Source organism: Homo sapiens, chromosome 2 (genome assembly GCF_000001405.40).
Source record: "Homo sapiens chromosome 2, GRCh38.p14 Primary Assembly".
In the NCBI taxonomy this organism is placed as follows: domain Eukaryota; kingdom Metazoa; phylum Chordata; class Mammalia; order Primates; family Hominidae; genus Homo; species Homo sapiens.
In genome coordinates this window covers 181,300,136-181,316,131 of record NC_000002.12, presented here as the reverse complement: position 1 = coordinate 181,316,131, position 15,996 = coordinate 181,300,136, and the positions used below count along the sequence as shown (strand labels likewise).

The 15,996-nt window shown below is 34.5% G+C and overlaps 1 long non-coding RNA gene and 1 other non-coding gene across 2 annotated transcripts in view, besides 3 other annotated features; one reads left to right on the top strand and one right to left on the bottom strand.

The window, feature by feature from the left end:
* The window catches only part of LINC01934 (long intergenic non-protein coding RNA 1934), a 275,717-nt gene that overhangs the window by 83,422 nt on the left and 176,299 nt on the right, over positions 1-15,996 (bottom strand). The window lies entirely within an intron of this gene.
* Positions 3,215-3,264: an enhancer, noted in NCBI's record as "active region_16825". NCBI's record gives its function as "activates an Ori minimal core promoter by ATAC-STARR-seq in GM12878 lymphoblastoid cells {active_cell/tissue: GM12878}" and the evidence as "EXISTENCE:reporter gene assay evidence [ECO:0000049][PMID:35858748]".
* Positions 6,184-6,384: a silencer, noted in NCBI's record as "peak3959 fragment used in MPRA reporter construct". NCBI's record gives its function as "represses an SCP1 promoter by STARR-seq MPRAs in K562 erythroleukemia cells {active_cell/tissue: K562}" and the evidence as "EXISTENCE:reporter gene assay evidence [ECO:0000049][PMID:32103011]".
* Positions 10,480-10,539, top strand: MIR4437 (microRNA 4437). Its single transcript, NR_039637.1, has one exon. It is a non-coding gene; the product is annotated as a microRNA 4437 (primary transcript).
* Positions 11,862-11,941: an enhancer, noted in NCBI's record as "active region_16824". NCBI's record gives its function as "activates an Ori minimal core promoter by ATAC-STARR-seq in GM12878 lymphoblastoid cells {active_cell/tissue: GM12878}" and the evidence as "EXISTENCE:reporter gene assay evidence [ECO:0000049][PMID:35858748]".

Here is a 15,996-nt window from a genome sequence, read left to right as displayed (position 1 = left end):
AAACCCTTACTTCTATTGAAAAAATACTTATTTATTGAATATATTAGAAAAATGTTGTGCATTAGCAAATAATAAAATACTTAGGAAGGCATACTTTTAAAAGAATTATATTCTTTAGATAAATTAAGAATGCAGATTCTGTCCTTTCCCTTCTTTCCTTCCAAATATATTTCTCTTACAAATGGACACACACTCTGGATACCTGATAGTTGTTATATAGTATAACACAGTATAAAATGGACTGGGTTTTAATAAGGTATTACTTGCATTCTATCTTGATCACTATAGGAAACATCTCCATTTCTCCGTCTTCTTAACTATAAAACAGGATTTATAATATATATACATCATAGGGATATTATGAGGGTTAAATGAATTTATGTATTTATTTAATAAATTATTACTGCTCAATAAATATTAGGTATTATAATTTTAATAGCTGCATCATTTTATTTTTATTGTTTTATTTATTTTTTTAATATGTCTATGTCATTCCACACTATGGACATAGAAAAACTTATTTTACAAGTTCTATTAATGACATTTGGGTTGTTTCTAATTTTTGGTATTATAAAAATGCACAAGTAAATATCATTTCATATGCATCACTGTGCACATAAACCTGTATATGTAGAGGCTAAATAAATATCTAGAAGTGGAATTTCATGGTTAAATTTTATGTGCTTTTTCCGTTTGATCTACATTGCCAAATTGCTCTTCACAGACATTCCAACAATTTATCTCCCAACAACAATATATGAGAACACTTAGTTTTTTTCCCAGGATGTTAACACATGAAAGGTTATTTTTTAAAATGACATCTGAAATGCAACTTGGTTTGAGAAACATTCTGTGCTTGATGAAGGAAGCATACTGAACTGACTTTGAATGAAAGAAAATCATCAAATACTTTATTCTAGATTTTAAAAATGTAGATCTTGGAATTCTTAGAGAATTAAGCAAAAAATAGGAGAAAAATAAGAAAAAAGATCATCACTTAATTCGTCCAATATTTTTTCTATCTGAATGGAGAGTGCTAATATTTCAATGTCTCACAATAATTAGCAAGTTAATTTCACTAATTTACCACCTTACAAAGTTTAATTATTTCTATAGATCATTTTAGATCACTTTGCATCCACTTAGAAAATAAAAGTAGTGGACCTACGGTATTATAATTTAATTTATACCATATTATGGTTTTATAAATAGCTCATATTATTAAAAATAAGTTGTCTCAGAATTGGACTTATGATTACTGATCCATGGATTCCTACAGACTATGATTATAAAGGACTAATGATGAAGCCCCTGGGAGGCCCCTTTGTCTTTATTCTAGTTAGGCCCATTACCCCTGGGTCAGAGCTTGAGCTGTGCCATAGGAGTTTGCTGTCTAGGGCTTCCCTCTCATTAGCAAGAGTGAGAAAAAATAGGATGTCCCAGAAATTTTCTGGCAAGTCTGTAGGTAGTATGCACTCCCAATTAAGCAAATTGAATAAACCTACAGTATAATACTTAGGAAAGCATATTTTTAAAAAGATTATGCTCTAGATAGATTGGGGATGAAGTTTTTTTTTCTTTCTTTTTTTCCAGTTGTGGCCACTGAAGCTTTGAACACCTGCTTTCCCTTCTGGCTTTGTTACTCTCAATAAAGAAAGAGATTCCTGTTGAGAAGGAGGGAGAGGTTAAGTGTCCAGAAATACTGCTCTAAACCATGAAATTATAAAGGGAGAAAATCAACTAAAAAATAGCTTCACTTAAAGAGCTATTGTTAAGGGAAGGTTTCATTTTGGAATTTGTCCAAATAGTGTCTTAAAAGAAAAAACAGAGGCAAAAACTCAGCACTGTGAATGAATGTCTTCTCTGAGAATCTTCCTTTCTTTATGATTAATATTAATCTTATCATCATATAAGTTCTTTCTGAATACAATGAATGAATGAATAAATAAATAAAATATGGAACAGGTATGAGATGAGTGAGTGAGAAAGGGAGAGAGACCCTAAAAATAAAAAAGTAAGAGGAACACTGGGGAAATAATAGCTAAAGAAAAGGGTAGTGAGAGCAGATGACTCATTGAAAAAGAAAGCACATCATTAATAATATTTATAGGTCTACAGTCTCTAATAATGGATAATGATAAAACTACCCAGGTCATATGCCTTCTAGGAGTGTTCTGTGTGTTCGTCTCCAGAGTGACACAATGGGGTAATATCCCAAAATTTGGTAAAGTATCAGTTGTATATTATTTTCTTTGTCATGTCACACACATAATATTTAGGTTATATTACCTCATTTCAAAAATTATGGTTCTTTGTCTTTCTCTTATGTTCTATTATATCTGAATACCAGACCTAAAATGATTTCTCATTAGATAAAGTTGTAGCTGTGCTAAAAAGAAATTCTATATGAGAAAATTAACTTGACACGAGGAAAGGTTTGTAGATGTTTACCTATGTAAAATTAAGTACCCAAATCAGGAAACAGGAGAGAAAATAAAATGGATTTTATACTTGCTGTAAAGTAAATCAAAAGCATACTCAAATCTGAACGAATTTCCAAATTGTATGACTTTAGGGAATTTTCTTTTAAGCAAATATTTGATCTACACATTGATATTGCACTTCTGCACTGTACTATAAAATACAAAATTTCATAACTGACATAACTATTCTTTGTCTGTAATGTGTAATTTCACAAGTCCTTTGTCACAATCAGACATCTGTATGCTGTGTCTTATGATCAGGAAGAGAAAAGACAATGAAGCTAAAGAGGCCACCCAGAGTAAAAGAACGAAAGAGAGAGAGAGAAAGAGAAAGAAAGAAAGAAAGAAAGAAAGAAAGAAAGAAAGAAAGAAAGAAAGAAAGAGAGAGAGAGAGAGAGAGAGAGAGAAAGAAAGAAAGAAAGAAAGAAAGAAAGAAAGAAAGAAAGAAAGAAAGAAAGAAAGAAAGAAAACCCTGAAAGTTGTTTGTGTTCATTGAAATTTAAGATACGCCAAAGTGCCTCATTGAAAGAGAGAAAACTGTAGAAGACTGAGCAAAAAGCTGGTCTTCCTACTATATAATGTTGAGACTTTTTTTTTTTTTAATGTAAAGTGATTGTAATCACTTGCTCGAATAAAGAAATCTCATCACTCTGGCAACACACTTAACAAACTAAAGAAAAACAAATAATGGAAATCACAGCGTGAGAAAGCTGTACTTGAAATATGCACTTGAGTGTTAGCATCTCTGAACTTTCAGCAGAGTCCTGATTTCGAAGATGGTGACCCAGAGCATGGAGCAGGTGTGAGCCTGGTGACTTTTGCCATGTTCTTTTTTTAGAGTCTGCTGCTGGTATCACTTTTGTCTTTGCCTCTTTAGTCGATTTCCTCATTTGATTGGGTGATTTCTAGAACCTTCTCCAGCTCTCACATTGTTTAACCCTGTACGACAACCTCTTTGGGGTAGCTATAGTGTGACAGGAAACACTAGTAGAGGGGAATTCACCTCTGCTGACCATTGACCCACATTTCCATCCCCGCAAACCACACTTACCCAATACAATTCTCTTTTGCGGATAAACGAGCTAATGATCAGAGAAGTTGAGTAGCTTTCCTTACTCGGCTGAGGGACTGGGAAAGCTGAAAGTCCAGTCAGTCATTTATGGCCCCATAGAACATTTGCTCTCTCTATACCAGCATTAACATTTTATTTGACTTTGCCCAAAATTGTCTATGAAGATCTGATTTAAACAATCTTTAGATTACCAGAAATTCTTATAAAATTCTGATTTCCTCCTTTTGTTGCTGTTGAGCCCTCCATCTGATGTTCTGCTTTCCTGAGACGTGTTTACTTAAACCATTGAGAGTGTATGTTTCCTCAAAGACATATTTCTCCAGAGAAAGGCTGAAAATACTATTTTAAGAAAGCTATCATTTTCTTGAGGCAGGTGGATAAATATATTTATGTCTGCTTTTGTTTTTTACTCCCTATTATCTAAAAACAATACTCCGAGGTTTATGTAAATTAGAGTGAACTTTTGCAGAGGGAAAAGCCTTTGCAAGAAATACCGATTACAAGCTGCAGTTCTCCTCCCTGATCACGCCCCACCCTTAGCAGCTGCTTCTGCTTCTTCTAAGCATCTACATCCAGCACTGGGGCATTTAATCTTCTGGTTTGGAGCTGAACATCAGGGTGCAACCAGCCCTCCTACTATACATATGTAATAGAATTAATACGGATTGGAAATAAAAAGACTAGTCATCCCTCAGGCACTGTACTAGACATTGATGTGAACTAAACAGACTTGGACCTCTCCTGGAGGAGCTTAGAGTATAGGGCAGGATCATCCAGTAGCGTCCCCACACACCTTGTATGACTATTTAAACATAAATTAATTCAAATTAAATAGAATTTAAAACTAAGTTTCTCAGTCACACATTGGCCTAATTCAAAGGCTCAATAGTCACATATGGACAGTGGCTTCCCTAATGGACAGCCCGGATTTTAGAACATTTCCATCAATACAGAAAGTTGTAATGAACAATGCTGGTAAAATCTATCACTAGAAGCATGGAATAAAATCAAGGTTCACCTGCCAGGACAGTAACACCAAGTCAGTGCAGGAGAGAAATCCCCAAAAATGGGTTTTCAGGTTTGGCAGAGAACTTGGAAATAGATGTAAATGTACAGATATGCACATACATACCCAAGTTCAATATGTACCTGGATCTATTTCTAGAATTTCCATTCAGTTCCACTCATCAGTCTTTTTATCATGAGCTGGTGACACACTGTTTAAAAGATTTATAGTATAAAAAGATTTAAGTATAAAAGATTTATACTAGGTTTTAACATTTGTTATAACTAGTTCCCACTTACAGCTTTTCTTTTTAGTGTTTTTTTTTTTTTTTTTTTTTTTTTGAAACAGGGCCTCACTCTGTCACCCAGCCTGCTGGAGTGCTCACTGCCTGGCTCACTGCAACCTTGACCTCCCAGGCTCAAGTGATTCTCCTGCCTCAGCCTCCTGAGTAACTGGGACCACACTTGGTTATTATTATTTTTTTTAATGTTTTGTAGAGACAGGGCCTCACTAATGTTGCCTAGGCTGGTCATAAACTCCTGGGCTCAAGCAGTCCTCTCACCAAGGCCTCGCAAAGTGCTGGGATTATAGGCATAAGCCACCATGCCAGGCCCTATTCTTGTGTATGTATTTTTCTGCATAAACTTTAAAATAAACTTGTCTAGCTTCATAAAAACGCATGTTGATATTTTTATTGTACTTTTCATTTTTTCACATATTTTTGTTTGAAATATTTTTCCATATTTTAACCTGATTTTTTTTTCAGAGTATCTTTGGTTATAACATAGATTGCTATTTTTCTTTATAAAATGCAATTTTGGTAATAAATAATAAATTAATACATCCATGTTATGAATTAGTTTTCTTTTTTCATTTTATAAAATTTTAATTGAACTAAAACAAATATAACATTTTATACCTTTTTAAGTGTACAGTTTAGTAGTACACTATACTAAATCTATAGCAGAATTATGAGAGTTTTATATACCATCATTATGATAACAGTCTTATACTTGTATATATATTTACCTTTTATAGAGAGCTTTATATTTTCCTATGGTTTCATATGAAATCATATTATTTCATTGTTTCATTTTTCAATGTGAAGAATTCACTTTAGCATTTTTTTCTTTTATCATTACTTATTTATCTATTTTTAGTTCTGGGATATATGTGCAGGAGTGCAGGTTTGTTACATAGGTAAATGTGTGCCATAGGAAATAGTTATTTTCAACATCAAAATTATGTAAATAATATTTATTGAGCCTATTTTATATTAAGAACATTATATGTATTCTTAAATCCTCACAAATATAAAATATAAATTATTATCTATTTTATAGACAAGAAATCTGAAGCATGTAGAGATTAAGCCACTTGTCTAGAATATTTAAGCTGGGTCTATCTAAAATTAGAGCTCTGCACATATTGAAAACGTGAACTACTGCTTATTTTATAAAGTAACATTTATCAGAGTCCAAGTCATACAAAATTCCATAAAGAGAATGCATTTGGTTTCACTTGTGTTATAACAATCAGAAGAAAGATAGAATAATTATTTTTACTGAATTTGATTTTAAATGGTTGGTGACCACTAAAATGCATACGATAGTCTACAATGAAATAATATCAGACTCAAGAAAGTTGTGTTCCAGCCCCGTCATTATTACTGCTTAGCCAGGCATGTTTTGAGGGGATAGTTAATCCCTCTCTGTAGCTTGTCTTCTCTACTTTGAAATGGCATTGCATGTCTGTTTATCAAAGTTCTGTGGCAATAAAGTGAGTGACAGTACATAACAATGCATGGAGATAACAGAAATATAGTCGGGCAATGATACCTAGAGACCATTTCAAAAGTTGGCCTGGTAAATTAATGAGCTTCAGATTTTTAAAAACCCCAATTTAATTATAGATCAACACTTCTTCCTAGATCATTCTGCTTCACTTATTACTTTTCGTTTTATTTGTATTAAGTCAAAAAGGGTGCCTAATTATCATTTAATGTGTTTCTAAGCCACTACACTCAATTTAAAAATAGCTGCACTAATATATGCTGCCATGTAGATTATATTCATTTGAAAGTTTAACAATTTCAATTATTTTGTTGTAGAAAAAGTATACCAAAAGAATTTGGAAGGATAAATTCTTACAAAACGTATGTGGCTTTCATTTTCAGTACTTCCTATTTTCATTTGGCTTTTTCTCACGGGACTTACATACTTCTGCTTCTTAATAGGAACATTTAAAAACACTAAGTAAACTTTCAAGAGGGTCATTTCTTATTTTGCCCAAGTTGGCTCATACATCTCTAATTTGATTTTTGAGTTAGTAGAGTCAGTTTTGAGGGAAAATGTATTACTAGTCTTTGGGAGGTAGGTGAGATTTGTTTTATAAAATAGCGGCTTATTAATCCACAGTGTATTTTATTTATAAATTTTTGAATGATTTATTTTTCTAGGACTATATGTGAAGCATGTGACTTGCTTTTGTTCCCTTTTAGGCACTTTCATCTTCTTGCCTCTGTGGGAACATCACCATTTTCCCACTCATCTTGAACTCATCTCTTTCTTTCAGCATGTCGTTTTGTCCCCACACCTCATGAGAGAGCTACTTGAAGTAGAATTATTATGCATTTTAGAGATAAGAGATCTAGGGCCTATAGAGATTATGCAACCTTTCCCAGGAGATTTAAGCTGGGTGTATCTAAAAATCAAAGCCCACGTACATAAGAGAGCCACATGTCTATTACTTCCATCCCTATCTAGGCTACTCCAGTCAGGGACTTTGTTACCACAACATTAAACTAGACTAGCTTCAGTACAGCTCCCATTTGAACCACTATACATCCTTTCAAGGTCCTATACACAAATCATCCCCCTTTACCATCCCTCTTCCTCTAACTCTTCCTGGAATTTCTTCTCTGTCCTCACTGACCATTTTATACCAGAGATCCTCACCTTGACTGAACATTAGAATCACCTCTGTAGCTTTTATACCACATAAATGCCACATAAATGCCTGGGCTTCACCTCAGACCAATTAAATAAGATTTTCTTATGGTGGGATCTGGGCACTCACTATTGTAATGTGCAACCAGAGTTGAGAATGACAGGCTTAAATTTATATATTCCTTAAATATCAGCCTGAGCCCTGCATTGTGAACTACATCAACCCTTTGGCTCTTATCCCCAGAACACCTACCTTACAGTGCCTTAAATTGCTGTTATCATTTATAATTATTTCAGATATTTTCACTCAATCATTTCAAATACTTCATCATTTATTAAGAACCTGTTATGTGCAAAAGATAATCCCCATATCTGTTATATATGTGGTCTTCTCTCTTCAACTAATTGAAACCACTCTGAGAGCTTGGGTTACATCTTATATTTCTTCTTCAATCAAAATAGACCTAATGCATTTATAAGCTCATATTAGATCTCAATAATACTTTTCGGTGAAGATCTCTAGGTTTATATTTTATTCTTTTAGTTACCCAGATTTCTTCAGCAAATATTTACTGAACTGCTATTATGTGGAAGATACTCTGATAGATTTAATACAGAATTTAGGCCAGGCATGGTGGATCATGCCTGTAATCCCAGCATTTTGGGAGGCTGAGGCGGGCAGATCACCTGAGGTCAGGAGTTTGAGATCAGCCTGGCCAACATGGTGAAACCCCGTCTCCACTAAAAATACAAAAATTAGCTGGGCGTAGTGGCACACACCTGTAGTCTCAGCTACTCAGGAGGCTAAGGCAGGAGAATTACTTGAGAATCACAGAAGGCAGAGGTTGACGTGAGCTGAGATCATACCACTGCACTCCAGCCTGAGTAACAATATGAGACTCTGTCTCAAAAAAGGAATATATATATATATTCGTTTTAAGAAATAATCTTCACTTTTGGCTACAAATATATTTATTTGTTTTTTAAATGGCTTTCTGTTTTTATGTTTTGAAGTGATGTTTACTTGTTTCTATATTGGATAATGTGTCAGAATAACATTTATTAAATACCTCTTTTATGTCATTCTTCTGAGTTCTTTGCATCTGTAAATTTATTCTATAGTTCAACCAAATGAGATAGTATCTTCAAAGAGAGTACCTTCTCAGAGGAGAAATGACTTTGCCCAAGTTTACCTGGACAGTAAGGGGCAGAGCTGGGACTCCAGCCCAGACCACTTTACCCCTCTGCTACAGTGCTGCCAGAGACAGTTTTCAAGCAGACAGACGATTTTCCAATTCCGGGAACATATTCATGATTTCCTTAGACTTTTCTATATAGAAAGAATTCTAAATTATACATAAAAATGCCATTAATGGTACTAGAAGTGGCTTTCACTCAAATGTCATTAATATCACAAAATATTTTACAGAGTAAGTTCTAAGAAATCTTAATAGCCAATAAGAAAAGCCTAAATGTTTTAAAGTTTTTTCAGTTTAGGTTATTAAAGAATATTTTGAATCTCTACTCTGCCCCCAGATGAGGTTTACATTTTTAAGTAGCTAAAACAAACTTCTCCCTTCTAACTTTACATTTCATGATTTGTTCAAAGAGGAAAAAAGCAAAGGTTTCAGTTACTAAGTAAACAGTCTATAAATGTACATCCTGTCTAAAAAAGCAGAGAATATGAAACCAAAGGATCCTCAAGATTGAAGAAAGGGCAGAAGATTTACAACTATTTTACAAATACTTTTCTTCTTCTAGACATTTTTCTTTTACCTTTCTTATATAATTTTTATTCCTCTCACTTTGCCCATTTTCATAATTCACTACCTTTTCTATTTTTTCTTCTCTGACTCATTTATGAATGTCTTTCGTAGCCGTGAACAAAATTCTTCTTAAAATGTGTCTCTATTAAAGACATTACAAAAGAATTTAAAGTAATAAACTTTATTTTCTCCTCCTAATTTATCTTCTTTACCCACCCTACTCTGACCATCTCCTTTGTTTCACAATACATCCTTTATTTTACAATAAAATATCTGTCTCTCAGTCTCCACATATGTGAAATCACAAAGCATCTCCCTACTATAAATGCCAACTCCTAATTAGGAGCACTTAACTTATTAAAAGTTATTAGCCAGGTACTTTTCCCTTGGAAAGATGTTAATAGTGTCTTCATGTATATTTAGTTCACAAATATTTATTAGACATTTAATATGTGATTTTCTAGATACTGTTAGGTTCTAAAAATCAAGTTGTCTTGAATTTCCCAAGTTGTCTTTTTAGTACTATGCACTGTTAACTATAATAAGATTAATAAGGCTTTTGCAACATTAGCTTAATAATATTTTTGCAGGGTGAAATTGTATTTGTATTTTATTTGGCCAGGGAAGTAATAAACTTTCTACCATTTGGTGGTAATTTGGAACAGCCTTGCTCACAGCTGTCAAGAGATTGAGAAAAAGAATAATAAATCCATAATTTATCATCTTTTAACTGGCAGGTTCACCTCACATGCAGGCATTAACATTGTTCACTATTAATACTCACATTGCCAACTGAACACAAACTACAAAATGAGGAAATGTCAAAACTTGCACTTTCCTTATAGGGTCTATTTTATCAACATAATCCAACTGTTTTAACTATGCTCTTGAAGATAAGAAAGCACACCACATTACAGATATACATGAGTACATACACTCATGGATTGCTACAACAGCCTCTAACTGTCACTATAGCTTCCCAAACCACAAACAGTGCCTCTGCTATGCACAGAGAGCAACTGAAGTATTTTAAGCAATTCTCTCATACAATGGTTTCTATTCTGTTGACAGCTACTCTGAGTCTCCGCCTTCGACTGAGGGTCAAGGGCACTGTGAGCTGTAACCTTTGATGCCTCTCACCTGCTGATTCCTGTGTAATCCCTCCCAGCCATTCATAAGAGGACTCGGAGGTGCAGGCAACTGTACTTTGTGCATTGGGTCCACAAGGAGGGGATGACCCTTGTGGGCTCAGGGTACAAAGGTTCACATTTCACACTTGGGCTTTAATCTGCATTATAATTGTTGAATAAGGAAGTATTTAAGCACACTAGTACTTAGTTTTAACCATTGCACTTGCCAAAGTAAGTTATGCATAGTATTTAGCATAATTTCTACGCCTCCGACCAAAAGAGTAAATAGGTCTCTCTTTAAAAAATACTCCTCCTCTTTTAAAGTGCGTCATTGATGCTGATGATTAATTGAAATGTGGAAATGATCAAGATTTTAAAAAGTTTGTGGTATTGTGATGGGCAAAGCACATTATTTTTAGGCCAGAATAACCCCAGTTTGGACTCCTCTTAGGGCCTGGGTAGGCTTGGGTAATTTGTCTAATGCCTCTGAGATTTCATTTCTTTGCCAATAAAATAAAAAGAAGCAATATTCACCACATATACTGAGCATGGGCTTAAGTAAAGTAAAATGCCTGGCATGTGCTGGACCCTCAGTAAATATTAGCTCCTACCCACAGTGTGGGGGAAAAAAATTAAGTGAACATGTTTTGTTGATTTTAGAACAACTTTTCTATTAATCTTGAGGGAAGTTACCAAATTTCAATTATAATATAAGGAAATAAAATTTCTGAGACAATTTTTAAGGCTCTTCATTTTCTGAAATAATACGTATGGTGATCTTAGGGTGTTGAACAGTAATTCAAGAGGGAAGAATAATTTAAATCCGAACAACTGCTTATGTTCTATTATTCAAGATTCAGTGATAAAACTAAAAAAGAGTTAGATAGTATAGTTACTTTTAAAACTCTGTTTTCTCCTGTAGCATAATGAGACTTCATTTATGACTAGGAAAGTCTAATGTGTTTTCCTTGAGCTTGTGAAGAAGTATCTACAGTTCATCCTCACTACCCAAAGAGAAACTAGATTTTTTTTACTTAAGCTCTAGAAGATGAGAAAAACATCCCGTAGTAATAAAGAGCCGTCCCAGTCCCTTGCTGAAGAGGCAAGTTCAAACTCCAATCTGTGAAGATCTGCATTTAGTTATACTCCCAAATTTACATTGTTCATAGGGCAATTGAGAGGCATTGCAGAGGTTTCAAAGAATTACAAAAGTCATACTTATCACCAAAACCAAAACCCAGTCTGTAACCAAGGCTAACCTAATACTAAGGTAGCTGTGGTCAGTCAAAAATAAAGAAAGGGTCATTTCTATGTTACATAAAGAGAAGGGCTGCCTTTTGATGCTAACTTCCCTTTATTGCCCGCTGTCATAGTATTCAGCAGATAGGGCCCCAGGAGGAGGCAGGTAAGGCATGACCCCAGCTCCAAAATATCACACAGAGGGACAGCTGAAAGGGAGACTCCAGGGCCCTAGATGACCTGCCACTAAGCTACCAAGACTTGGGGCGGGGCTAATCTTTTCCATGGCTTTGACCTCTAATTAATAAATAAAACCTGCTCAGATATGGCTGAATATTCTTTTCAAACAGTAACATAGACTCTGGCGTCATTTTGAATCCTATTCTGCCACTTTGTGGTCTGACCTTGAATATAAGCTACTTAACTTCCTCATTTGCAAACTGGGCATCCCACTAGTAGACCCTGAATAGAGTTGTCAGTATGATTATCTGAATTAATATTTGTAAATTATTTAGAATTCTGCCTGGTCAGCAGGAGGTACTTTCACAGAGTTTTAAAAATAAAAGTAGTACATCCCCCCACATATATCGCCAAGATATTCAAAAAATTATCTCTGATTTTTGCTGAAATCTTAATTTAATTAGGCAATAAGTCAGATAACCCAGTTTTTAAATATAAATTTAAATAAATATATCAATATAATATTGATATATTACTTTTATTATTTTAATAAAATCATTAAATATCTAAATGTATATTAGTATATATTTAAAATATGTAAATACACAAATATATAAATCACTTTTACTATACAATGCTTATCTATTTTATTTAATATGCTGATGTATAGGGTTCTACTTTTAAGTATAGTAAGTTTCAAGATATGATTGGAAAGATGTTTACTCTCTCTTGTTCTCTCTCTCTATATATATGTATATATGAAAATAGAGTGTTTTTGTAAAATTCATAACCCTTTTTTTTTTTTTTTTGAGACGGAGTCTCACTCTGTTACCAGGCTGGAGTGCAGTGGCGCCATCTCGGCTCACTGCAACCTCCGCCTCCTGGGTTCAAGCGATTCTCCTGCCTCAGCCTCCCAAGTAGCTGGGAATACAGGCATGCACCACTACACCCAGCTAATTTTTGTATTTTTAGTAGAGACGGGGTTTCACCATGTTGGCCAGGATGGTCTGGATCTCTTGACTTCGTGATCCACCCGCCTCAGCCTCCCAAAGTGCTGGGATTACAGGCGTGAGCCACCATGCCCAGCCAACTCATAACACTTCTACAGCTAAATCACTAAAGTTATGATTGACTTGTCACCACATTATACCATATTATTTTCAAGTAATAAATCTGTACAAAGTAGAGTCATTGCTCTAAAAAATCTGTATGCAAAGAAACAAAATTATGAAGTGGTTTCTGCTTGAAATAACAATATTTGTGGTCCCCAAGAATTTTTTTCTTTCACATTTTTTGGTAGCATGATACAGTTCATTCATAAAAAATATTGTAAGAGGATGATTGGTAATGAAACATAGGACAAAGTCACTATCATAATTTCTGAGAACCTTCACTATGTGTCTTGCACATGAAAATTTCAAAATTCTTCAGTCTTGTTTGCAATGATTAGTACCACAGAGCTGGCAACTGATGCAGTTTTTCTCCTCTGCAAATGAGTGTCATGTTTCTGTTGAAAGACCTACTGGTGGATATTTGAACATCTATATTTGAAGCATCATGGGGTATTTTGCTATTTGTTTTTTAAATATATATTTGAAACTAGACTATGCCTAGAAAGAGAACAATTAGCAATCATAACCTAAAGATCAATTTAACAATAAAAAATATCAAATCAATAACTTTTATTCAAGACCATACCACACCAGTTTAAGTGAATATTCATTTTTTTTACTCATGTTTGGTTGAACAGACTAAACTAACTTTTGGTTTCTAAAATATATAAAGCTCTATGCTTGGTGTTTCAAAAGCAAAAGTTCTTCAACTTATGGACAGATTTATAGAGGTGAAGAATACTGAATAAGTATGTTCTCATTTGGTGCTAAAAGAAATCAGTCAACCCAAGTGGTCTGATATTTTTCTTATGGATTAGAGGGACATGCTGCTGTCTTATTCTTACTTTTAACCAATTTTTACTTTAGTTTCCTCTGGAGTGGGAGTCATATCTGATAGTATTTATATCTCCCCAGAGTATTTACCATATATTATGTACTAAATAAAAGTGTATTAACACAAATTAGGCAAATTGAGAGTCCAGACATGCAGCTCACTATCAAAGGTGCTGAACAACACAGATATACTGAAGTGATGATCATGTTATTTGAGACATAGTTGTATGTTACTAAATATCTTTATTTTCTAACATGAGAAAGTAATCATTTAGAAAGTTGATATGTTCTTACGTGTTGATAAAAATTCTATGCTGAAAAAATTTAATGTTATCTTCTATATCCAACAATAAGAAGTGCTCCTTGAGAATTATTCAACCCTCGACTTGAGTAGACGCACTATTCCTTAAAACATACACACACATACACACACACACACACACACACACACACACACACAATAGATGTCCTACCTATTTTCCTCTTGGACTGGCATTTCTTTCATAAACTGAAAATGGTTCTCTAGCTATTAAAGCAGTCTAACATTGAATTAGAACTTGAATTAAAGTCAAAGCTCTAAAATGGCTTATTTTGGGAAACATCAATAAGCTCATTTCACAGTTTAGATGCGGGATCACTGATGGGTCATGTACACACATTATACATACAGAGGTTTAGCCATATGGAGGGATAGGATAGGTTTTTCATGCCTGAATTTGTCATTCACAGCAAAAGACCAATACCAACCCTGTTTATAACAAAGGCATAAGATACAGTTTCCTTTTGGATAACTATATAACATAATAATAACTGCCTCATTATATAAGCATCCTTAACAATTATAGGTAAATGGTATTTTCAACAATTAGAAAACTGCTATAATGATCCAGGGAAATTGGATGAGGGCCTGAACTACTGTAATGGTATTAAGATTGGAAGGAAATACACACTTTTGAGTCACAGTTTGGTGTTAGAATTGATAGGTCTTGGTGATCCATTAGGTATGTAGAAAAGGTGGAGAAATTAAAGATGATAATCAGGTTTCCTGCTTGACTGCGGCTGTAGCAGTGCTATTTACTGAGGTCAGGAGCATAGGAAGAGGAGAAGGTTTGGAGCTGAGAAGCAAGAAGACTGAGAAGATGAGTATAGTTTGGGACATGTTGGAGGTGTGCATGGACATTCAAGTAGAAATATCCAGTAAGCAGGATATCATTGATGTGATAAGGAACTAGACCTTGAGCATAGATCTCCAAGTTCAGAACTTACGCAATCACTGAAGCCATGTGTGTGTAAAAGATCACTCTGGAAGACCATGTAAAATAAGAAGAGGGAAGAGCATGAGAAAATTGTTATCTGTATTATTAAACTGGTCACTAAAAGGTATTGCTTTATTGAAATATTAACAACATGTGCTATGATAGCATGAGGTGGTGGTATTTTAACAACAATGTAAAGCTGGCATGGTTGTAAATTAATTTTGCTTTCTAACCCCTTCCAACATCCTTTGCTACACTGTGTGGTTTCCTTAAATTACCACACGCAGAACTCCATGGGCGAACAGACCTAGCTGGTTTCACTTTATGCCACACAAACAAGCATGTGGCATGAGGTTCAGTCCTCCCAACCACACGTCCCGTTATTTACTCATGTTTTGTCAAAAATAAGCCTATATAACCAAGTAATTCAATTGGAATTATAAAATCATTGAATTTTTCATAGAAAAATTACCTGGGAAGTGATTGCTTTATACACATTTCACTATTGCATTTATCAACTTCCTTTCTTTTTTATTTTATAATTATTTTATTTTCTCATGTATTTTATTTTTGTATTATACTTTAAGTTCTGGGATACATGTGCAGAACATGCAGGTTTGTTACATAGGTATACATGTGCCATGGTGGTTTGCTGCCCCCTTCAACCTGTCATCTACATTAGGTAGCCGCCCACCCCTGACAGGCCCCAGTGTGTGATGTTCCCCTCCCTGTGTCCATCTGTTCTCATTGTTCAATTCCTGCTTATGTGTGAGAACACGCGGTGTTTGGTTTTCTGTTCCTATGTTAGTTTGCTGAGAATGATGGTTTCCAGCTTCAATGATGTCCCTGCAAAGAACATGAACTCATCCTTTTTTATGGCTGCGTAGTATTCCATGGTGTGCATGTGCCACATTTTCTTTCTCCAGTCTATCATCAATGAGCATTTAGGTTGGTTCCAAGTCTTTGCTGT